The sequence below is a fragment of the Homo sapiens genome, chromosome 7, assembly GCF_000001405.40.
Source record: "Homo sapiens chromosome 7, GRCh38.p14 Primary Assembly".
NCBI classification, from domain to species: Eukaryota; Metazoa; Chordata; class Mammalia; order Primates; family Hominidae; genus Homo; species Homo sapiens.
Window position 1 is genome coordinate 42,049,586 of NC_000007.14, and position 26,362 is coordinate 42,075,947.

The following is a 26,362-nucleotide window of genomic DNA, read 5'->3' on the forward strand; positions in this document are numbered from 1 at the left end:
AATTCTAAAACACACCTTGCTACCACGATATCCTGATCTGCTTCTGGAGAGAGATTCCTCAAAATCCCCTCACACCTGCTGCCCCATAGCCACAGCCACACCCTGAGACAGCCACTTCTAGAATGGCCAGTCTGCATAACCTCCTGGACCACCAAGTTCCTTCTCTAACGGAAAACATTTGGCATGGATAATCAGGGAACTGGCTCTGACAGGTTAAACAGTTGTGCTCCCCGCTTTTCCTCATTCACAGAGGGTGCGGCCATAGGAAGGGGAGGCCCTGATAGAGAGAGATCAACTGAGAACAGCAAATTCCTCTTCCACCACTGGCTTTAGGAGTGAAATGAAAGGGAGGGGGAAACACATTTTCTCCTTGCAAAGCAAATGCTCACGCACAGCCCGGCCCCCATCACCCTGTCAGAATATAATCTTGGTAAAAGCCAGCTCCACTAAGTGCACAGCGCAGACACTGAAATAAATGAAATCAGAGATCAGATAATGAATTTTCTCTCAGTAGAAAATGAAAGAAGTTGAAATATGGTGGTGGGGGTGGATTTTCTCACTTTCTCCTTCTGACTCTTTTTTCATTTTGAACTAAAAAAAAAATGAGGCTTTTTATTTGTTACTTAGATGCTACTTTGGGAAAGCAAAATAAAAATCCAAAGTTTTCTAAATTTACACATGGGAAGAGTAAGAAATCACCACCAGCAAATAGCTATTTCTTTTCAAAACAGCTTGAGGCTTTCACACCCAATCAGAAATTAGTAAAATGGCTTGTTTAAATAGAAATCAACATAACCTATTAGTCTTTCCTATTTTAGCTCTTTACTACAAAACAAGTTGGCTTTCTGTTCTTTGTTAACTCAGCCCCTAAGCTCCATTTAGACGTGTCCGCCATTGGTTAAATCTTACACCGTATTTAGATGTGTTTGCTACCTTAGAAGGTACAGGGGATGCTCTAATTCATTCATTTATTCTTCACAAGAAAGGACAAGCAATCCTTCCAATCTGATTCTAAACACAGACTTGTTTATAGATTTCCACTGAGGGACTGGTGCCACCGAATGCAGAAGAGCTGTTTCAAGAAAGCCATGAGATGACGCCTCCTGGGCCAGCTTTTGCAATCCAGGAATAACTTGGTCTGAGCAACATGAACTAAACATCAGGGTGGGCAGTGACATTTCTTACTGGCTTTTCTTGATTTACCCAAAGATTGAAACCTATTATTTCTCCAAAATTCCAGAGTTGAGAAGAGTGGTAAGAATATCCCTAGAGGTCCAAATTCTATTTTGGAGAATTATGCACAGGAAAACCAATCAGCATCTAGAAAAACACAAAAATTATAGCGGCCAGGCTAGGGTGGTCATCAATCCCAAAGAAAGCCTAGGAAGCTGTTTTCTCCTCACAAAAGTCTATCAAGTCTGATGTCCCTGTCACTGCTTCACTTGGATTCAAGCCTTTCCCACCAGGACACTGAAGGTACCTACTAAACCAGCTTCCCACGAGTGAGGCTCCAAGACCTGGTCATATCTTCTCTGGCAGGAGCACTGGGCTCTACGGTCCTTTTACATACTGCTGAGAAGCAACAGTGGAAAGGAGGGTTCCTCCAGGATTTGAAGATAAAGATACAGGTGCATCAGGCAGTCATAAGGGGGTCATCAGGAATTCTAGATACAGATGTATCCAAGCAGTGGGACTCAATGTGCGTGGACCTCAGCCTTGATACTCACCTTCTCCTCTTCCTTAAAGGTCCAATGGGGAAGATAACCTCGTGGGAGTCTTAGGAAGTTGACAAGAGTAAAGTCTCATGTACTGAGCCTAGTATATACTGAATGCTCAACACATACACACACACACATATATACAAATATACACATACATCCATATGTAAAATCATATGTGACATATACATCACATACTGTGCTAACATATTCCACCCATAATACACATATACACAAACATATTTATATACACATGTGTATATGTACACAGATATATGCACACATATAAACATATATACATGCATAGTAGGGGTAGCAAATGCAACATACTGTGTGATTTCAAATATTGAAATATTAAGACATTCTTTTTGTTAGCAGACTTTGTTTAGAGCAATTTAAATTCATAGCAAAATTGAGCTGTAGTACAGAGATTTCCCATATAACCCCCACCCCCAGCCTCTACATATAAATAGCCTCCTGTCATTATCAACATCTTCTACCAGAGTGGTGCATTTGTTACGAGTGATGAGCCTACACTCACACATCATCGTCACCCAAAGTCCATAGTTTAGGGTTCACTCTTGGTGTTATCCTTTCTACGGGTTTGGGCAAATGTATCTACCGTTACAGTATCATACAGAGCAGTCTCACTGCCTTAAAAATCCTCTTTCACCAATTCTTCCCTTCTTCCTTCTCCCAGCCCCCAACCCCAGGAAACCACTCATCTTTTTGCCCTCGCCATAGTTTTGCCTTTTCCAGAATGTCAGGCAGTATGTAGACTTTCCAGATTGGCCTCTTTTACTTCGTAATATGCATTTAAGTTTCCTCCATATTTTTTCAAAGTTCATTTCCTTTTAGCACTGAATAATATTCCATTGTATGGAATAGCTTATTTACTCTTTCACTTACTGAAGGAAAACTTGGTTATTTCGAAGTTTTGGCAATTATGAATAAAGCTGCTATAAACATCTGTGTCCAGGTTTTTTGTGTGGAAGAATCCCCTTTCCATAGCAAATCTGATCACACCAGTCGGCTTTGCTCCTCTCCCTGACAGCACCTTGGAGGCACCTCCTTGGATTTTCCAGGACCTCCCTTAGTAAAATCATAAAGTCACATGAGGTGGTTAAGAAAATGAAGTCAGTAATTAAATGCAAGGGCTTTGAAGGAATGGGATTTGAAGGTTTCTTCACTTATTCCCTCACTCAAGCATCAGTTTCCTTATACACAAAATTGGAACAATCACAGCTCCCTCCAGGAGCTGCCGTGAGGGCTGAAATCCTGTGTGTAAAGGTAGGAACACAGTGCCTAAGTGCTGTGGTTGTTGATATTCTTGTAGAACCAGCCAACAACACTTCTTTTCTTCTGATTCTAAACTCAGAAAAAAAAAAGTCCAAATGGCGATTTGTTCCCTAGCGGAGCAGTGGCTGGTATTCAGTTTCTCATTAAAATGTGGTCACTTATTAATTGTTTCCACATTAGGCTCTCGTGAGCTGGGTTAGCATATTTCTCTAATGCTAAAGTGTGACAAAAATGAGTTTCTAAGCAAACAAAGCTGAGCATCCAAACTTCAACTACCATAGCCAAACAGCCTCCTGACATGTAAATAGTCTTTAAATAAAGGTGTTTTTAACCTTACCTAACGGAGCCATCTTCAAATTCTTGGCAGCTAGATCATTTGTCAGTTATTGTGGCTTTGTTTTTTGTTTTCGAGACAGAGTTTCACTCTTGTTGCCCGGGCTGGAGTGCAGTGGCGCAATCTCGGCTCACTGCAACCTCCGCCCTCCAGGGTTCAAGCGATTCTCCTGTCTCAGCCTCCCGAGTAGCTGGGATTACAGGCATGTGCCACCATGCCCAGCTAAGTTTTTGTCTTTTTAGTAGAGACAAGGTTTCACCATGTTGATTAGGCCAGTCTTGAACTCCTGATCTCAGATGATCCGCCCGCCTCGGCCTCCCAAAGTGCTGGGATTACAGGCGTGAGCCATGGCTCCCGGCCCAATTATTGTGTTTTTAACTGGAAAGCAAATCTGGGAGAGAAGGTTAAGCTCCTTAAATTTATCAGGCAGACGTGTGTTCACTGCTATGTGAGGGGCACTCAGGATTATGACCAGAGGAGGGCTGAATTCCACTGAAGGAAGAGGACAGGGGAGGTATGGAGAAGGCGGCCACAAAATTTCCCATAGAAATGACATATATTTTCCTACAAACTATCATCAACTTGGCCTGGTAAATATTTGTCGAGCTTGTTAAAAATCTTCATTTGAAGATTAAAAGTAGTGCCAGGAAAAAAACTGTGGTGTCTGCTTGATGCACATTTTTAGTAGATACACACAGAAATGAACTGAGGATCACCGCTTTCGGTCTTTGTGGCAGTCCACCTTCTCTCTGTCCTGGGACTGTCTGTGGCTCAGTCATTGGAGGGAGACACAAACCAGGGAGGAAAGAACAACAAACAAACATTCTGAGAAAAACACTGAAATTCAGAACTGGTCCAAGAACAGACATTCCATGCTATTTATGTTGCAGCAAAAGAGTATAGAAATATGCCTGTGGCCCTCCAAACTAAATCTGACAAACTGCTGTCTGGGCACCAGAGATTCCCAAACTGTAGAGTGTTGTTGGGACTACAGGGCACAGCTGGGAAGATGTGCCTCGCCCCATTATCCCTGTGTCTTGGCTCCTGTATGCAATGCCTCTGTGTCCTCTCAGGGATAAGGCCCTTTATGCTGTTTCTACCCCTCTGTCTTCCAAGACATTGGAGACCTAATGAGTCACTGGCATTTTGTTTCCGTATTGCCCAGTGGAAACTGTTTGTTGGTGTAGGTAACTTGATTTCAGAATATTTTTTATATGGTCATGAAAATAGATTACAATGAAAGAGTAGAAGATTCTTATCAGAGCATTTTTAACAGTACACCATGAGAAACTTAAAACATGTTGCAGAGAATAACTGGACTTCTGAGTTAGAATGAAATATTATTATATAATCTAATTCATTACTGCCTTTTCATCTATCTTACTAGGTTACTAAAATGCCAAGATTAAAATCACAGTATTTAATCACTTGCATTACCCATTATGAGAGCATTAAACAAGGTTTACATGCCAGATTATTACAATTTGCTCGCACATTGCTTGGGATACTGGAAATGTACACATATCTCCTGCATCTCTGCATGACTGCTCCAACTACTGGAAGACTGAAATATGTTGGTTTTTTACATAAGCTTATTTTTTGTTTTTTTAAATATAACAAGTAGACATCCTTCTTCATATTCAAGCAGTGGTCTGATAGAGAACAGAGGGTAGTTGTTCTTTTTAATGCATTTTTAACCAATTAATTAATTATTCAATAAATACCATTTTAATAAATCAAAATTTGTAAGAAAAAATTTGCTTTTGTCCCAGTGCAGTGGCTCCTGCCTTTAATATCAGCACTTTGGGAGGCTGAAGCAGAAGGATCACTCAAGCCTAGGAGTTCAAGATCAATCTGAGCAACATGGGGAGACCTCATCTCTAGAAAAATAAAAATAAAAAAATTAGACTGGCATGGTGGCACACTCCTACAGTCCCAGTCCCAGCTACTCGGGAGGCTGAGGCAGGAGGATCACTTGAGCCTGGGAGGTTGAGGCTGCAGTGGGCCATGAGTGCACCACTGCACTCCAGCCTGGGCAAGAGAGTGAGACCTTGCCTCAAATATATATATGTATACCTATATACATATACACATATATGTATACATATATATATACACACACATATATGTATACATATATATGTATATATACATATATACACATATATGTATATATACACATATATATACACATATATGTTTTTCTTCCTTTCCATACACTAAAGAAAACAAATATCTAAAATGTTCAAGAGTAAAACAGTAGACACTGTCATAAATCTGCACAATCCTATACTTTTTTTTCCCTCTATGCAAGGTAAGCTTTCAGATAACCTCTGCCCTAGAAACACCACGTGACCCTGAGAGGTGCAGATGGTTATGGTGGTTACTTTCCATCTGCTCTTCCTCCTCCCCAAGGCCACAGCCTGTGTGGGGAGTCTCGTCTTTAAGGTCTGAATCAGCTGGCTCGCCTTCCCTCCGGTTTCCACTTAAGGGAAGCAAGGCAGGAGATGGCAGGAAGGGAAAACAAGTCCCCTCCTCCCTCTCTGCTAGCTGTGGCTCTGTGGTATGGCATTGCTCCCCCAAGGCCACTGTTCCTGGTGGGCGAGCCCTCCTCTGCTGCTCCAGCCCTCACTGAATCACTTTTTCATTCCAACTTTGACTGTATTAGGGGCTTTACTATTACTTGTTTGTCCCCTTAACCCTACCCACACCTCTGTACATACCCACTCCATCAGCCCCCAGGCCCCTAGTTGATAAAATGGTTCCATTTCCAATCCTATTTTCATCATCTTTGTAGCTATGAAATATTTTTCCATGAATTCTTAATTGGCATATGCTTTTTACAAATTTACCATTTGGATTTTAATTTTTAAAAACTACATGTATAACCACACAGATGAACATTTCAATGATCTCTTCATTGGATATACATTTGATATCATTTGGCTGTGTCTCTACCCAAATCTCATCTTGAATTCCCATGTGTTGTTGGGGGGAACATGTGGGAGGTGGTTGAATCATGGAGGCGGGTCTGTTCTCCTGATGTTGAATGGGTCTCATGAGATCTGATGGTTTTATAGAGGGGAGTTTCCCTGCACGGGCTCTCTCCTCTTGTCTGCCACCATGTGAGAAGTGCCTTTCATCTTCCACCATGATTGTGAGGCCTCCCCAGCCACGTGGAACTGTAAGTCCATTAAACTTCTTTCTTTTGTAAATTGCCCAGTCTCGGGCATGTCTTTATCAGCAGCATGAAAATGGACTAATATAACATTTTATTGAAAATCCATTCCCTAAGAATCCGCTATGATTTCTGCACTTGGGAGAGATTTCAAGGAGCATGATACATGGTTGCATGGTCTCTTCTCTGAAAGAGCCTACAGTCAAATGAGGCAAAAGGCTACACTCAAAAGAAGTGTGTATGAGTAGATGTGACCTAATGAGTGGTGGCACAGCTAAAAAGCATTCACAGGAGGCTCCCAAAAGCATGTGGGTCATGAAAAATATGGACAATGAACCAGCACAAAAAGTAAATATGATTTGAATGAAAGTGGCCACTAAAGGTGAGGGCTAGAATATTGCTTAACGTATGCATTAATGCTAAGGTGATGAATATTTTCTTACATGGAGAATTTAAAGGCTAAGGCTGATTTTTTTAAAGACAGAGAAGGGAAAAGAAATATTTGTTTTAATGATGAAACATTACTTCAAGAGATTTTTGTAAATAAGTTTATTGGCCGGGCATAGTGGCTCGTGCCTATAATCCCAGCACTTTGGGAGGCTGAGTCGGGTGGATCACCTGAGGTGGAGAGTTTGAGACCAGTGTGACCAACATGGAGAAACCCCGTCTCTACTAAAAATACAAAAATAAATAAATAAATAAATAAATAAATAAAAAATTAGCCGGGCATGGTGGTGTATGCCTGTAATCCCAGCTACTTGCAAGGCTGAGGCTGCAGAATCGCTTGAACCCAGGAGGCGGAGGTTGTGGTGAGCTGAGATCACGCCATTGCACTCCAGCCAGGGCAATAAGAGCGAAACTCCGTCTCAAAAAAAAAAAAAAAAAGTCTCTTATTCTGAGTATAAAAGGACTTAATATTCCATGAATGAAAAAGACAAGTGGTTATTTAAGAAAAGAAATAGCCATTCACTCTATCCAAGCTAACCAATGTCAACATTTTAACATAATTACTTCCAGCATTTTCTCAGGCATTATGCACTTCTTACATATTAAAAATAAAAATCATGTATTTTGAATTATACTTTATTTCTTAGTATGATAAGGTTTTTCTATTATCTTTTAACTAACTCTCCATAAACATCATTTATAGTGCAGTGCAAATTAAAACCAAAATGAGTTATCATTAAACACCCACTAGAGTGGCTAAAATTAAGAAGTCTGACAGTGACAAGTGTTGATGAGGATTTAGGCCAACAGGAACTCTCAATATGAGCGCAAGCTAGAACTACCTCTTTGGAAAACAATCAGGCATTGGGTACTTGCACAAATTCTTACCATATATTCCAGCAATCCTTTTCTTTGGAATATATGAGACAATCACGTGTGCATATGTGCCACATGTACTCAAAGAGTCATAGCAGCATTAGTCATCCACTTAAAAATTGGAAACAACCTAATATCTATCAACAGTAGAATGGACAAATAATGCATACAATGAAACAGTAAACAGCTATGAAAATGAACAAACTACAACATAAAAAATCTCACAAACATAATGATGGATAGAAGAAGCCCAGCACCCATAAAAATAATGAAATAATTTCTTTTGAAACTACTCGGATGGAGCTAGAGGCCATTATTCTAGGTGAAGTAACTCAAGAATGGAAAACCAAATACCATATGTTCTCACTTATAACTGGGAGCTGAGCTATGGGTATGCAAAGGCATACAGAGTGGTATAATGAACTTTAGAGACTGAAAGGCAGCAGGGGGCGAGGGGTCAGCGGAGGGGAATAAAGGATAAAAAAACTACATATTGGGTACAATGTACACTACTGGTGTCACAGGTGCACTAAAATCTTAGACTTCACCACTATACACTTCATCCATGTAACCAAAAACCACTTGTACCCCAAAAGCTATTGAAATAAAAAATATGTAATAAAAAAGCTTTAAAAATAAAAAATATGTGATAAATAAAATGGGAAGTTCATCAGAAAAAAATTAAAATTAACTAAAAAAAGAAGAAAACTGGCACAAAAGAATATAATGTATGATCCCATTTATATAAAGTTCTTTAACAGGCAAAAGTCAACTTCAGTGTTAGGATAGTCAGGATAATGTTGACTTTCAGGTGGGTGGAGAGTATGGAAGAAGGGCTTATGAGGTGTGGGGATGTTCTATTTCTAGAACTGTTAAGTTAGAAGTTTTCACTCCATGATCATTCATCATCATTTACTGAGCTACATGTGTACATTTTGTGCAACTTTCTCTGTATTATTCATCAATAATTTTTTAAAAGGATACATGCCAAATACATCGAGATTTCCCACAGTGGTTTCAACCATTTCAATTAAATTCAGAAAATCAAATTGATACACATTTTTATTTCTCAAAACTTACAAAATATTGATGCTTTAAAGGTAACATAAATAATAACATATCTACTGCTATAAAACAAAAATAGTCTAGCTGACACATTAGTCTAAATTCAAGGTAAGCTATGGAAGGTGGACATCTGTGTATTAACTTTGGAGGGGGCAGGGGCTACCGCTAAGCCAATCAAAGGAGCTTCTTGTGAAGAGAGAAGCCAAACAAATACATGTTAGTCATGTTCTTCCAACAACTGAAACAATGTTATACAAGTATCACTGTACAAGAGCAGTGCAATTGTTTATAGCTAAAATTGATTTCATTCCTTCCAGGAAAGACTGCAAAGAACAATGTGCCAAATTTGTCTCTACTCTGTACTGTAAATATAACTCATTAATAAATTAAAATTTCAAGGTCAAAGAATTAAAAAGAAAGTCCATTCCAGCCACTGTAACATGCAATGCACTGTTATTAAAAAGAGATCTTAATGAACATACTGCTGGTTCAAATAAGTACTTGAGAGCTAAATGACCACATCTCATAGCATGGGACTGCGTTCTATCCCACTAACTTTTGTTTAAAGAGAGCTCAATGTATGTTTCTCACATTTTAGAATTAAGAACAGAAGAGAAAAAGAAGTGGAGAAAAGAGCGTACCTGAACCAAATGGCAGATGACAACTTGTTTTTAAATAACATATGTTTTAAATATTTTAATTCCATGAATACACATTATATATTAAATTATTATTTTAGCAGACTTTTTTGTCCTCCAAATGGAGTCCAAATAGTTCACGCAAAGGTATCCTTGTTTCTGCAATGTCTAATAAATGAAAGACATTTTCTTATCTTCTTCCCCTGATTACTAGAGTTGGTAAGAAGGATAAAACCAGTAACTATTATATAAAATGTTTTATTATATAATGTATGTATTATATAAATATAAAGTGGAATTAATAAGTATAAATGAATATAATATTCATTTATAATTCTTAATTACAAATTATAAATTAATTAATATAATAAAAATAAATATAATTCATTATTAGAAGAACTAATATGCTATGTCCATCTTTACAATGTCCACAGAAGTACCACCTTGATGAGGAAACAGCTGTCGCTGTCAAAAGAGACATTCATATGTCCAGTTGCAATTCTTTTCCTACCACCTAGGTGCCATGTTGAATGGGCGATGGAGAGCTGCTCTCATTGGTTGGATTCTGTGACATCTGATGGGGCTCTGTTTTCTAGACAGTTTCCTAACTGATCTGCATTAAGAAAGCACACAGATGCTGTCCTTTCCTCTCCTCTTCCCCTAAGATAACAAGTGGTTACCTTTGATCAGCCAAGCTTTTTCCCTTGGGTAGTCCCTTTTCCTCCAGTGGAGCAGGCCACGGCAGAGGCCAATCCAGCCAGGCCCAGAGGATCAAAGGAGTCTTTCCTTCTGTCTCACTCTCCTGCTCCCTATACCTGGAAGTGTGCATTCAGTAAGCTGTTCTATACACCAGTTGCAAGGTCTTGGGCTTAGGTTTGCCTGTTGGGTGAACTAGATCCTTAAAAGCCTGCTTTGCTCTCCAGCTACTTAAGCCCAGACAGAGAAGCGGCAGCACTGTACCATTTCCTTTTTAACAGGGAAGTATACAGAAAGCATGTAGCCTGGTGACTGTCACATGGTAAATTCTCAGTAAATGTTGGCCCCTACAACCAACACCTTCATTCCTGCTGCTGCTGCCATTCCTAGAGCTCTGGGTTGGTTAAGGCCAAAGTCACCTGGCTTCCGTTGCCTTGTTGAGTACTGATTTCCCTCAAGGACCTGATAGGGAGTGAGCTGTTTGTGGCCGGGTGAGTTCAGCTATGATGTCACTTCGGCATTACTTAGGCGCACCCATCTCATGTTTTCTCCTAACAGATAGATTAAGCGATTTGATTTACCTTAGTTAAGATGATGGATTTTTTTTCTTCAAAGTAAATTCAAGAGCATAATAATTCTGTAGTTTTAGTTCAGCAACTTCATTGCCATGAAGAAAAAAAATAAAAACTTTTGTCTTTAGAGATAGAGAAAACAAAAATTTTTTAATCAGTTTGATTTCTGTGACTTTCCTCTCTATTTTCCATTAATTCTACCAATCCTATTTTCTGTAATTTGATGAATTACCAATTCCATCTCAAAAACAATACTCAAATAGGCAAAATAATATCCTTTCCAAAAGAAAATACAAGGCAAAATAGAAAAATATTGACACCCAATAGTGTAGAAAGAATGGCTCCTCAAACAACTAAGTCCCTCTATGATGAACTAACTGTGCCTAGAAAACTCCTGGGATAAGTGACATTTGTTTGTATAGGTGTTACATTTTCCAACAATGCAGAAACTTATCCATCATGATTTCCTTTAGCAGAAACTTTTGAGTCTGAGCCATAATACACATCAAGTGTAAGGGAAAATGACTCTAACATACATACAAGAGACTCAGTTAGATCTGTTTACAAACAAACCAGCTCATGTTTGTATCATTTACATGGAAATCTCAACAATTCAAGGTAAACAGCTACTTTAAAAGTCTCAGCAGCACTAAGGCAGAATCTGTTATTCAAGCAAGAACTTTCCCCTCAGAGGACTTCAGGTACTAGGTGGATATAATTAATTGAAAACAGGAAGTTGGGTTCCAACTATTTAATCCTTGCTTAATCTTGGGTCTGGTGGCAGGTGTTATAGAGGATATTTATAACAAAGACAGGAAGCACCTAGAATTCTGAGCCAAGAAGACAGTAAGGCTACCTCAAGAATCAGAATGAATCTTTTATCAACAGTAGTCTCATCTTCTAGCTAGTATAAAGACTTTTTCCATATTAGTATCATCATCATCCTCATCATAATTATTATTACTGTTAACTACTAACTAGTCTGTTTTTTGAGTTATCCCTTGAACCTTGACATCTCACTCCTACTTCCCCTGATTCTTTTAATCACCTTTATTTTAAGTTATATAGAGATGTCCAACAAGGAACTATCATTAGTGATTCAATAACTCTCCTCCAGAATAAAATCTTCAAGGTTTGCTAGGGCCATTGGTCCCATAAAGGTGAAAAAAGTGAGCCCTTTTGAAGTGGCAGGCTCTTTAGATGTAACTGGAAGTAGAGCTTGTAGGACTACTATATGAGACTAAGGCTTTATGTCCTAAGCATACTTCTCAATATTTCAGAACTTTATCCCCTTGGAGGGTGTTAACTTTTCAAAATTAAATTACATATGGAAAAGGAGTATATGTAGTGTACTGTAGAGTGTATGTAGTGATGGGGAACAATTTGTCTATATTATTCAACAGAAAAGCAGCATCAACTTCTACATAAGGGGATACTTTTCTTAGGGGTCTTGTTATCATGGCCTTCGGGAACTTTGCTCAAGACGTAGAGAACAGCATCATGGAGGACTGAAAATGAGTCTGGCTACTTAACAAGGAGCTACAAAGTCTCCTTCTGCAGTTCCTTCTTCAGAGAGAAAGCAAGTCTTCCAGTACCATAAAGGAGGAGAGATTCATCTGATTGGAAATGTCTATGATGTGCAAGAATTACTTGTTCATATTACCCTTGGAAAACCTGTGCACAGGACCATGGTCTTATCAAAAACAGCTTTTTGAGCCTCACTGTTTCATCTGTCAAATGAGAAGCTTTGGAGTAGATGATCTCCATTCTACTCACAAGGTTTAAGGCCCCATTTGTTCCTAAAATCCAGTGCTTTCTATGATTCAAACCATATTCCCCTGTCTGTCATTGCTTAGCTTTGACCATGTTATAAAGTCTGTTGCTTGAATACACTTTTGTTTAAAATTTAGTGACCCATCACTTGAGTATCCTACAAATGAGAACTCTTTTCTTTTTCCTTTCTCGAGAATAGCATCACAATCATTGCAGCAACTTATGTCCTCTCTGGGCCACTGTGGTCTTCAACTTTGATACTACTCCCAGGAGAAACGATAGGGTCTGGCTTTATGCTAACTGGATTTGGATGGTGATTGATTAGAAGAAAGTGGGACCACGTAGCCTTGCAAAAGGTTCAGTACTGAGCCACAAGCTTCAACACTAAAGGAGCTTTTACCAGTGAGTTCACAGCTATTTTTATATTAACAACATTTCTCCCATCCAGGTTTGTGCATTTTATCTTTATTCTTTCAAATCCTGAAATTGCTTGGATAAGAGAGAAGGTTTATATATTATACACACACACAGACACACACACACACACACACACATTTCTAAGAGCAGCCTGAACTTTTAGGAGAAATTGAAGAGGCTTTGTGTCAAGTACAGCTAAATCCAGCCTTTCCATATCAAACCTCTGCTAGAAAATTACTGTGCAGATGATAAGGCAGAAAGATATAATAAAAAGTGACTCTCCTCAATTTACACTGCAATATTGGTATGACTGAATATTTTTCATTCAGGTGCCTGATAAAATCGCTAAACTGTATTGCAGATAAATAAAGGAGGCTTCTGTCAAGAATAAACACCATTAATCATGAAGTCTTACCCTCTCAGAGCCTGTGCTATGCATCTGCACAAATACACCAGCATAACCATCACACAACACATGCTTGCCTCCTTTATAAACTGTTCCAAGCTGAAGAAGTGCTCGTTTTTCATTTTGCAAGGTTTAGGCAGCTATAGCATTTTGAAAACATTCTCTTTACATTTTTAACTTTACATTCTTGCAACTAGGTCCATTATTGTAACATTTAGGAAAATGTGGCTGGGCTCTCAGGGGAAAAAATCTTGACAATGAATCAATTTTTTGACCAAATACATACGTACACACACAAATACATATGACATACTACATATCCTCAACTCTAAGATGTTACTGATCTAAAGGTGCAAAATTGTGTTAGATACCACTAAAAAAAGATAATGGTTCCCTATCACTTTTGGTTTTTACTTTACTTATTAAAAGAGCTCTTTTAGAATTATTCAGACATAGATTTTTTAAACATGTATCATTCCAGCACATGTACAAAAAAGGGAAATATAAGCAAAATTATTTTATTAAAAGATACCTGGAACTTCCTCATGACTGCCACTTCACCAATAAGCAATTGTAAAACACTATAGATTGTAAAATACATCCCAACTTCAGAGATGTTAAAAGATGGAAAAAGGGATGTACTACTTAGAATAGATGATTTAAATATGGGGATAGATATGTAGTAGGCAATCCTGCCATTCGTCAAATACCTATGCTGTGACAGACACTGTGTTAAGTGCTATATATATGCTCCTTTGCTGAATCCTTGATATAAAATGGTATTGAATGGTGAAACTGGCTTAGACAGATTCAGTAATCTGACAGTAAGTATCTGAGCTGAATTCAAACCCAGTCTATGCTTCAAAGTCTATGTTTTTAAACCCAAAGAAAAACTGCCCCAAACCAGATACACATGTGCATGTATGCCTACACTTACATTTTTAACATTATTGAGGCTTTTAATAGAAAAGGATGGTATGGTTATCTAGCTACCTTAACTTCCAAAGGGAATCTATTTAAATTGATGTTCAAATTGTAGTGCCATGGCAGGTCACACTGGTGGCTGCAGTATACACAAAGTGTCACTTGCAGAGTATAAAGAGTAATGAGGGAAGTATGACCACCATTCAGGCAAGACTTTTCAGCAGAGCTTCACATAAGGAAAGTGCAGGCAACAAACTTTATGGCTTAGGGAGAAAAATGGCATGTGGGCATGCATGTGTCAGGGCCACAATATTTTCATGGAATCCCCTTGTAAGTGTCCACACTCTAGGAAAAAACAACGAACAAATTTAAATTTTTCCATAATCATGAAATGTTAAGAACTAGAAAGGATCTTAAAGATCATTTAATTAATTTATTTTGTACATGAAAACAAGGCCTGCAGAGATGACGGAAAGTGCTCAAGGATCCGGTTAACTTGTGGTAGAGTTGAGAATGGAACCTCACTGAGGTCCACATGTATTATGAAAACAGATGATTAACTTGTTTTACGAAGATGATCATGAGAAGCCATGTGCCAACAGCACTATGTTTGAGTTTGCTGGAATTACACTTTGAAACCCAACCAAATAGCATTGTCATGGGTGAATGTAACCAACATATTATTGGGTGGGGAAGGGATGTGCTCAAAGGAACTATTCAGCAAAGCCATAATCCAGTCACACTCATGAGGGATGTTTAGCTGTGTTACGCAGGAAGTATTATGGAAGCTGCAATTCAGCTCACTGGGGGTTCTGTTTGCAGAGCCCACTCCAAGCAGGAAGTGCCTTTTCTAGCCAAAAGAGGTTTAACTCCCATCTTCCTGATAAATCCTCCCTCTGTGAAGAAGCAGCTTGATCCTGTACAGTGAAGTGTTTATTTGCTAAATGGAACACAGGCAGAGAGCCTCACAATAACGTCTGTGCTCCAATGATGCACAGCCATATTGGGGGCTCACAGAGGTCAGACCCCAAGAAGCCTCGTTCAAGCCAGGCCCAGCAAGAAAAGAAGAGGATACCAATGAAACCAGGCCCTGACCCCACTGCTTGGTACTTCCCCAGTTCTTTAAGGAAGAGCTTCTGTGTTAAAAATAAGTATTTATACTGTATCATTTTCATCACAGACTGTGTGTTCAATCATTCCTGACAAACTTTTTGGTCCTCTTTTTTATTATTTTTATTTTATAAAAATTATATTTTATTTATAATTTATTAAAATTATTATTTTAATATTAATTAAATATTATTATTTAATACTTTTAAATTATTATTAAAACTGCTCCCAGGTACATTATCAATAAATGCAGACCCCTGGTTAGCTACAATGCACCCCACCTGCTTGTTAAGAGTAGAAATTCTCATGCACAAAAAAGCAAGTAAAAACAACTGAATGTACCCTTCATAAGAATTTTGCTTTTAAGACAGCTGAATTTTGTCAAGCTATATCACAATGTTTTACCACTATCTACATTGAGGGTATAATGCATTAAAGAATAAAATATTTACTCTTTGTTAATAGAGTTAAAAACATAGTTCATAAGTTTATCAGCTGTTCATTTCTGTCCCAGTCATAAACCATGCTTCAAAAAATAGCATATGTACAAGAAAATGTAGTGGTTATAGTAAGATACTCGAATAATTTTGTTTTTGTTGTTCATTATTTCTATACATAAGGCAATCCATTTTATGCAAATTATGATGAAATTCTTTAGATATGTAAATTTAACTCAAATGGAGCTAGTGGGCTCCCCTCTCACCCTACACGGGATGATTTATGTTACTAACTTGGGCTTGAGTGTAACACCTGAACTACCCTCCTTCAATAGCCTTATTCACACTGAAAGAAAACCAAATGACTTAGTAGCCTCTTTCACTGATTTTAAGGCTAGTAATGATTCGAGTAGCCATGTTATTAAACTAGAATGAAGCACTACTCTCCTCACTAATGAGGTTAAAAAATGTCTTTAGGTCTCCACGTTAGGGGCACTTAGCAAGCACTCTGCTTGGCAGAGACCCACAGCGGATCGAAGCCATGGACTAATCACACAGGCCGGAATCAAATGGACTGGAAGAATTAGGAGACTTGTGGCTCGGAGGAATGTAATTCATGCAGAAAAGCGTTGTCAGAGCAAGGCCAGGGAACCTCATGGGAAGAAAGCAAAATAAACAGTTCAACAAAGAAAACAAAGAAGGGCCAATAGGCTTTTCTAAAGCTTGAGTACACTGAGACTTCAGTGGGTGCCTAGGACAAAGACCTCATCAAAGGACACCCTTGCAAAGCAAACAGACCAAGGAAGGATGTTTCTCTCCAATACACTCGGGGGAAGGGGGTGGACTCTACTTTTCACTCCTTCCAATTCAACTTCCACAACTCCCAACTTCCAACTCAACTCCCTCCTCCAACAAACACAGAAACCACCACCAATAATAACCTAAGTAACTAAAAAGTCCAGTCTGTCTGGGTTAAAAGATGGGGAAAGGTGGGGAGGTTAACACAAATTAAATATGGTGCAGTGCATCTCTGGATCGCACTTCAGATCACGAAAAGGCCTTTGGAAGTGTACCCACCTCCTGGGTCAGATCCCCACAGCCTGCTCCCCACATTCCAGAGGATGAAGAGAGACTCCAGAAGTGTTCAAGGATTTAAACTTTGAAAATTCTCTCTCACAAACAGTATACAACATCCACAACCGTGCAGCTATTCAATTGCGAGAATGGAGCCTAGCATGGCTTTCTGAAGAAGGCTGCACCTCTGCTCACAGCTCCAGCCTCACTCTTCTATTTCCAGTGGACTCTTGACTTGGACTATTCTTCCCTCAATCCAATGACTACGTGTATCACTGCAGCCCTGAAATGACTTTGGTCATTAAAACAAGATTAAAATACTTGAGGCTGACCTTCTTTTCCCCCTCTTGACTACTTCCTTTAAGATGGAAGACCATGCTGTCTTTGGCTGACTAATCCCAAGGACAGGCTTAGAGTGCTACAAGGAACACAGACAGAAGTGAGTGCTGTACGGGTACATACGCATATACAGTAACATAGTGAAGATATATAAAAAAACATAAAATACTTACTTTAAATAAATCAATACAACATGGCAGGTAATAAAAGTATTAACATAATCCAACATAACTCTAATATTAATTTGTTATATCCCTGGCAAATAACATATGAAAAATCAGAGGCCCCTTCAGAGGTCTGATTGCTTACGTTATGGACTTACAATTCTAAATTTGTTCCTGAAAACTTTCCTTAGTGTGCATAGTATATGTTAACGACAATGGGTGCTAGGAATATGGGGATTTTGCTCTGTGGGGGAACCAGAGATTACTTTGAACAGAGGCAAGAAGCATTTTAGTAAACTGGAAATGTTTATTTCCATGCTGTCTTAAAAATGTAAAGCATATTCAAGCAACATGGTTTGGTGATTTGTTTTGCAAATGAGGCAATTCATTTAACTCTAGAGCTTCCCTCTCCCCACTCCCCATCAGATGATAGAGATACTATTCACTTATGGTGAACTTGGCAATATTTGGATACTATTTGAATGTATTTAGAAGAATATTGGCAGTTTTCCTGTTTCATGTGTAACTTGTTCCCAGGTTTTGAAAGACATATTAACCTTGTCAGGCCTGAGGGAATCATTTACTGTGCCCAGTTAACCTAACTCCCTTAGGCTGGCTACCTAGGCCATACTAGACTTGGCCATGGTATGCACAGGGCTCCTTAGGAACAATTTACAGGTGCTTCCAGGCAATGAGGGACCCTGTATGGGGGAACCTTAAAAAAAAAGCCTTAAAGAGAATGTCTTCAAGGGCAACTGTACACACAATTCATTTTGGTATTAGTTCAGATTTTCAGTCTGGGGCCAGGCTTCCATTCCCTGTAAGAGTCCCAACTGAGAACTTTTTCTTTTAGTGAATCTGTAACCTCCCTGTATTGCATAAGAAAATTTTAAATATCTGTCACTTATAAACATGTGTGATGCTGCACATGCCAAAATATTAGGTGATGGGATTTTTAAAAACCTATGGCTTTGGGTTAGACACTCACTTTTATCTTTATTGGAAATGCACTCACATGCTCTAAGGCAGTTCCTGCCACTCTGACCATTCTCCCTGCATTATTTTCTTCCTGCACACGTGTGTAGACACACACAAGAGAAAAGAGGCAGAGTATATTTCTAGCATCGCACTTGATGTTTTTCAACACAGAGTTATAAAAATTGAGGCAATGTCACCAAATTAGCTAAGTCAGCACAGGAGGTAAACACAGGCCAGTAAGCCGTTTAACTTGTTAATTTTTACTGAACTGCAACACAATCATGCCCATTTCTGCTCTGGTCTGCCTTTTGCAAAGTCCACATCAAAACTAAAAATGGCCAAGATTGTATTTTTCAAATTTGTTTCAGTATAGCTCTCTGCCAAAACATCCCTAGTTTTCTCAGAGCTCCAAGGATGAGTTTCAAAATCCACCTCTCTCCTCCTATTTCCTTTTAGTGTGCTTAGCTTGCTTGGGTCACTGAAGATCCAAAATCTGGCTAATCTGTTACTTCATACTCAAAAAGTTAGCAAGCAGGTTCCTGGAAACATATCTGCTAACATTTATTTTCTGATGTGTGATTTTCCCCGGGGCAGGGATGGGGATGCAACAATAACAACAATGAGTGACAGGCAGCCCTGTGTCATTGGCCTTTGTTCCCCCGAGGAAAGGTCTGAAATGAACTCAGCTTGCAGTGTGGCTATAGGAAATGGCATGTCTTTGTTTAGGTGAAAAAAGTGGGGCTCTGTTACCTAAGTGAGGGAGAGACGGCCACATAGGAAAGGCTGCAGGGAGCTTCAGTTTAGGCAGTATTCACCATATAAACCTAACCTCAAAGTGTCTTCCCATCAGGACAAATTCTGTTAAAGTTCAGTTTTCTCAAACACATACTTAAAAAAATAAATAAAATGACAACAGTAAATTTCTGTTTTCTTTGAAGCCAGGCTTAACATGAGTGGAAGCATTGTACTCAAAGAAAAAAGTCTGTTACAGCCCAGTACCTCCCAGGCCCCCGCAACAGGTTTGACAGCAGCCTCTATAGAGTCGGCGGCTTCCGGTTCAGTGAACGTGAATACCTCAGTCAATATCTGCTCCTGGACCGTGCTGCTGAGCGCAGCACAAAGAACACAGGAATTTTATCCAAGAAGCTGGGGCTCAGACTCTGAATATACACTATAATTAGGGCCTGCTTTCTCTGCAACTGAGGACCGAATTCAGTATTTCAGTCATTAGAAATACTGCAAAACAGAAAGGAGTATACACCCTTTGAGTACAATTTATCTGTTTTGTGGTTGTTTCTTAACGCAAAGTAAAGTGTGTATCGGCGGATCTGGATTTATGTGCCCGCTCATCAGAATTTTAAAAGTTTAGGAATTGAAACTCAACCATCTTTTCCTAACTATGAGGAAACTATGTATGTAGGTGGCCTAAGATAGTTCTTGAAAATTAGGCAGGACTTAAACTTTTTCAGTTAATCACGAGAAATGATAACCAAATAATAAGACATTTATTTTTTGATTTGACATGATATGCAGTGAAAAATGTGAACAATAGCAGTAGAAAAGCATAAAAGTAGAAAACATGACACATGGCATTGCTCATAAAAAAGAGAAAAATAAAGCAGAGAAAGAAGTACAGAGTGAAGATGGAGAGGGGGTGTTATTTTAGACCAAGGTTGGCAAACTTTTATCTTTCAGGCATTCCAGGTCATATTCTCTGTCACAGTTACTCAACTCTGCCCTTGTATTGCTAAAGCTGCCACAGATAATACTAAATAAGGAATGTCACTGTGTTCCAATAAAACTTTATTGACAAAAACAGGCCATGAACCGTATTTGGCCCATAGGCCACAGTTTGCCAATCCCTGTTTTAAGTAGTTGTTCACAGAAGACCTCTCTGAGAAGCAGAAACTGAGCAGGGAAATGTGTGAAGGGAGGGAGCAAGCCATAGGTATCTGAAGGAAGAAGGCTCTACGCAGATACACATTGTGTTCTAACATGGCTTCCCTTCTATTGGGTTTACCGCTATAATCACTAATTATTATCTACCCATGTTCTAACAGAGTCTTCTCAAATGTGATTAAGTATTGGTCAACACTCCACCCAGTTGATGAATCACAATTTACCAAACCACTCCAGTGGCTGAATATGTAAACTGTTCTATTGTATAGTGTCATACATTCTACAGCAGCAAAGACTGATAAGCATCTCATTTTTGGGTTACTCAATAGGTACATTAGGTCAAAAGGCCTGAACGTGGCTTTTTATGGCTCTTCGCACACTGCTGTATTTCCACCTTGGGAATTTGCAGAAGACAATGACAGCCAGTAACACTGAAAACTTCCTATCAGGTACTGTTAGAAATAGTTGTGCTCATCCAGGAAGTAGAAACTAGAGCAGCCAAGTCTGTGGTCTTCATTTTCACTAGCAAGGCATGGAAGTCCGGAGCAAGGGTGTGGAGTCTGATGCCTGGGTTAACTCAAGGGCACTACCTACTTGTAAGCTGAGTAACTTCTCTATGTCAAGGTTTCCATGTCTTTAAAATGAGACTAATAACTCCAGCATAGAGTTGTTATAAATATTAACACACATAAATATTATGACTACATAAAGTCTTTAATATTGTGCTTAGCCTATAGTAAGTATTCAAAAATGTCAGCTATGGTCATGATTATATACTTTTTCATCTGAATTATCTATTCATCTCTTTTTTGCCCTTATCTTTGATATTGCTATGGTCTTCTTAAATTGTTCATTTAAGATGGCTAATTTCATTCATTTTATTTCCATGTGTCGGCTCTGGAAAGCAGCAATACATTAAATAGCACTCAGTCATATAAGGGGACCAGTAACTGCTTTAATATCAGGAAATTAGTTTGACAGTGGAGAGCATCTGATGTGGCAATAGCTACTATTAATAGAATCTATTCTATCAAAAGTAGTCACTGAGCTTTTATTTTTTGAATCCTAGCTTGTTGGCACGAGGTGACACACTCAAACAGAAACAAAAGAAAAATGATGGTCATAGCAGTGACCCTATTATTTTTATCATCATTAAAAATAATATTTATTTAGGAGCTACCATATGTAGAGCATGGGCTCAGCCTAGCAAATGCAAAGAAATACACAGATCGTCTTCACCCTGAGAGATGTAATTATAATTTAGTTCATGTTTTCTTTTTCTTTTTTGGGGGGGCGGTGGGGAGTGTTTTAGGGTTTGCTACAGTATTTGCTAGACTTTGCAATTTGATATGTCATTACACTTTACCAGTCTTAATAATGTTATGGTAAAGCACAAACACTGGGTGGAGGAGGCGGGGGGAAACTTTCCTTTGTTAATTTTAAGTTACACTATTAAAATATTCCAAACTAGTTTTGACCCCAAATATAATTATAAGGTTTTACTAAATCTCCATATTTTACCGGAAACTTCCCTAAGAATGCAACGAATGAAATCACTATTACATGAACAGGCCCAATATAGTGTTTTCAGTAAGCAGCTAGACTGAAGAGGCTCCTTTGGAATAAGTATGTGAGCTCTCAGTAAAGATAATACCAGGACAAGCAACGTGCTAAATTTAGGGGAGGGGAACTCAGTAGTAGCCCTGGTCATCTACTTACTATTTCCTTCTCTAAGCTTTTACCATAATGATATACCTTTTCTTAGAGCTTTTTCTCTCTGGGAAGAAATGTATTTATTCATATGCCAAACTTGCCTCTCATCTCCCTGCTCTCATCCCTAACAGGCAGCCATAATTACGGGGGCGAGGCCTTACCTATTTCCAGTGCACTCTGTCTCACAGCTGATATTAATGATCTTCATAATACTGAGTCCTCTCCCTGAGGTGAAGGGAGGTGGCCACTTTTAGTGGGAAGAACAGCTCTCCTTACTTAGGTGGAATGATTCCAGAGAGTGTCAGGCAGCCTTGGAAGGAGACACATTGACTCAACAAAGAAAAAAAAAGGGCTGACGTACAGAACAGAACATGAGTGCTCATTTTCCCTAAGACAGAAAAGCTGGTTTTCGAAAGTGGATTAGTAAAGTGGATGGTGAAATGCAACAGCCTTTATGTGAGCTGGCTTGGGGTGCAGTACTGTTCACATCCACAGCACAAAGCAAGAGCAGCTCACAGCTCGACTGGCAAGAAGATTGGTGGGGCTTAATTATTGCAATGGATTAGTAACCAAGGACCCTGCTTTGGAAAATGAATTGCAGATCTCAGTATGAAACAGAAAGACAGTTCGAAATTCAATTAATACTGGTCCATAAATTAGAAAACCTTGGCTCAGAAAGATTGTACATAAGGGCTACATTTCTTTTTCCCAAGAAAAATCCAAAATGAATGAAATCAAATTGGAATTTAAAGCTACTTTATAATTTGGGTTTCTACAAATACACCATGCCTACTTTTAAAAAGGAAGCATGCTTAATTGAGTTCTAACACTAAAAAACAAAAAACACACACTCAAAATGCAAGAGAGAAAGTACTTTAATTATTACTGTGGAAAGTAGCCACTTGACAATGCAATTGTATTCTGGGGTAGTAGGCTGTAATATACCAATTGCCTACATTCCCAAGTGAAATTTTAAAAATTAGTACTTATTTTTAGCCTAGCAGGCATCATTTGTTCCCATAGAATACAGTAGTGTCTCCTCGAGTTAGGGAAGGAACAGCCCTGATGTCAACAATGCAAGGCAGGAAATACAGAGACCAAGAAGTAAAAATATACACATAAAATAAGAGTATGTGTGTATAGATTCAGGTTCTTTCATTAATGCACAAAATAATCTCAGTAATAAAGTAGACTCACTCTGATATTTTTTCTAAAACATTATACTTCTTGCAATCTAGCTTAACAAGTCTCTCAAAGGATTTGAGAGAGAGGGAGAGAGAGCAACATTCCATTTGTTTATTGGGCCTAAGACCTGGTGAATTCAGTGGAGAATAACTTTCCGAGGAAACGGGAAGATTCCTCATATCCAGTGTTTCTTAATTTTCAAATTACTTGAATTAAACAAATACAATGCAGGAATTGTACATTTTATAACAACCTTTACGTGACAACTCAGAGAATAATACTACTTATATTCCAGGTCCTACTTAGAAGTTCTGAGTCTAAATTCACAATTTTGATTTAAGAAACAAAATGCCAATAAATTATAAATTATTTCTAGTGATGTATTTGAATCCATTCAAGTTTCTATACTCATTCTACACTGCCTAACCATAAACTGTGGATAACACCGTAAGAATAAGCAGGGCAAGCTGAAGGCATTCCGTTTAGCAAACTGGGTTCTTTAACACAAACTGACGTATTTCCGTACATATTTATAAGGCTTAGTGGTTATTATTAGTCTGTAATTGCAGTTGTTCTAACACCTAATAAGCCATGGTTGGAAAAACAAAGGCAGGTTAATTTGTGATTTCCTCTACTCATTCAGAGGCAAATTAAGTGTCAAACAGCTAATACGAAACATATTTCATTTTATGAGATTTTAATTTAATTCTGCACCATATCGTTGATGCCTTAATATAGGGTGGTTTATCTAAAAAGAGGAGCAATTTATAAACCTCTTTCAATAGAATCTTTAATGATAGGATATGATAGCATAATTATAGAAGCGCCTGCCCTTCTTCTAAACAGAGATCTGTCGGCATTTCCATCAACACAAATCCTTGTTTTTAGGAGACTCGTAATTTAGTTTTTAAAGCTGGCACCAGAAGAACAATTGTGTGTACAAAATAATGATAATATCTCCAAATTTTGTCTTCTTAGAATTAAAAATATTGCAAAAACTTAGTACTCTTCACTTGATCTCATTTTCTATAAGACAATTATATAGCAAACAGTTTGGAATTCAAGTTTTGGATGAAGTGATTTTACTTTCCCAGGTAACTGATTCATCCCTTAGCAAATACGTGCTTTTAAGATTTCTATAACCAAGCCACATTTGCCTCGATTAGCCTCCACTTTCAAGGTGATCACAGGTGTCTACTTATCATACCTCAGAAGGTGCAAGAGCAACCCAGGGTCTCATAACTGAGCAAGGGCAGAATAGAAACTCCCAGTATTTTTCATGCCCCCCACTGCCTGGAATGCCAACCTTCAGCATTTATTTAGAGCTCTGTGCTTTTCAGAGTGCTTACATGAACATTATTTCATTGAACTCTCCCTGTGATCTGAAGAGGTGGGTACAGCAGACAGCTTCATTTCCACGTTACGAAACCAACACATGCAAAGGTCAGTGGCCAGAGTGCACAGCACAAGTGAGTGGCAACACAAGAACAGGAATTCGAGCTCTCTGACTGCTCCTCCACTGTCTCTCAGACTGGGCCAATGTGAGTGTCCACTGAGCACCTTTTACAAAGTGCCTGACCAAGTGCTGGGCACTGCCCCTGAAACTAGAAGGGAGCAGTGACCGTTAACAATAAATCACCAAGCAAGAGGAAAAGCATCACAACAAAGCTACATGCGAGTCTCTGGGACGGCCCTTAAATTAGGCCTTGAGGATGAATATAAGCAGGAGTTCACCATGCAGAGAGGGAAGGCCACTGAGACCAATGCAGACAGAATGTCAGTCACAAAGACACAGGGGCGTGACATGCCCCAGCTTGCTGGGGCCCACTTCATAAGCATAGCGTCCACCCAGGGCCCTGCCAGGATGCACTAAAACCAGGCAGTCCCAGGAGGCCACAAACCCATAAGCTCACCATTCTCTGTGCCCGCAGCAATGATATTCCCTCTCAGAATCTTCCAGGACTTGTCTTTTGAGGCTCAGGATTATCTATCAGCTTTACATCATCAATCTTTTTGATAATTATACATTTAGGCTGCTAGAGAACCATTTAGTCAGATGCTAGTAAAGTATCCAAAGCCTGGCTAAAAAAGCAGGAAGAACTAAAATCCAAAGAAAACCCAGCTCAACAGTCACACCTGAAATGTGACTCCCCCGACTCTGCCTACGAGGATGGTCCAGATGTGACGCATCTTGTCTCGTGATGTTATCACCACGGGCCAATGCAGGTCAGTAATGAGGGCCTAGAACACACAGTGGGGGCTACAGGAGGGCTTGCTGTTATATTCCGCCATAGAACCAAGACTTGGGGTTTTTATTGATAAATTCATATTTGAATTTAATTACAAGGCAAACTATAATGAATGCAGAGGAAATAGTTCAGCCTATTATATAAACTCATTTTAAAAAATTGCTCTAGAACATCATTTCTGAAAGAATGAAGAACTCCAAAATTCCGGAGAAAATCTGACTTAAATTAAGTACATCACAAAGGCTCCAGTCTGGGAGGAATTAGCCATCCATGTCTCCGAGGTCTATCTGGCCCTTGCATGCTCTGAACCATGGGGCAGATCCTCATCTGAGACCCATGTGGTCACATCTGTATCATAAAACCTCTGTATAATGGGGTGAATTACATGTCATGTTTCAGGCTGAACTAGGAATTTCCTTCCCTTTGTATAGAGAATTTTAAATTGGCCTCCTGGTTTTATTAGAGGGTATTTTTAGCAGGCTTCAGAACCCTGTAAATACTTACTTGTGTTCCAGTGAAAACTCAAAGGATCAGTCACAAGTTTCTGCATTCTCTCTCTATAAATACCCACTTCTCCTTTAATGCTTATAGAAGTCTGCAACACAGATTTATTACTTACCTCCAGGCAAATCTGCTCTGAAATTACAATTCAGTAATGGGAGATGGATCCAAAAAACTGTTGGTAAAATATTATATGTGTACTTGGGCATGTAGTTAGGATTGTTAATATCAATTAATTCTGTTCACAGAGGAGGACTTGTTTTAAAACAACTTCATTTTTCTTTGGCATAATATGTAATTACACAGCTGTAACTAATAGCCACGGAGATGCAATCTACCATCTGAATAACCAGCATTATTCTTCAAAGTA

At 38.8% G+C, this 26,362-nt stretch overlaps 1 protein-coding gene across 8 annotated transcripts in view, besides 1 other annotated feature; it reads right to left on the reverse strand.

The window, feature by feature from the left end:
* GLI3 (GLI family zinc finger 3) overlaps nucleotides 1-26,362 on the reverse strand; it is a 303,320-nt gene that overhangs the window by 88,637 nt on the left and 188,321 nt on the right. The window lies entirely within an intron of this gene.
* Nucleotides 16,259-16,912: an enhancer, noted in NCBI's record as "OCT4-NANOG hESC enhancer chr7:42105443-42106096 (GRCh37/hg19 assembly coordinates)". NCBI's record gives its function as "activates a minimal SCP1, AML or CMV promoter by ChIP-STARR-seq in primed H9 embryonic stem cells {active_cell/tissue: H9 hESC(primed)}" and the evidence as "EXISTENCE:reporter gene assay evidence [ECO:0000049][PMID:30033119]".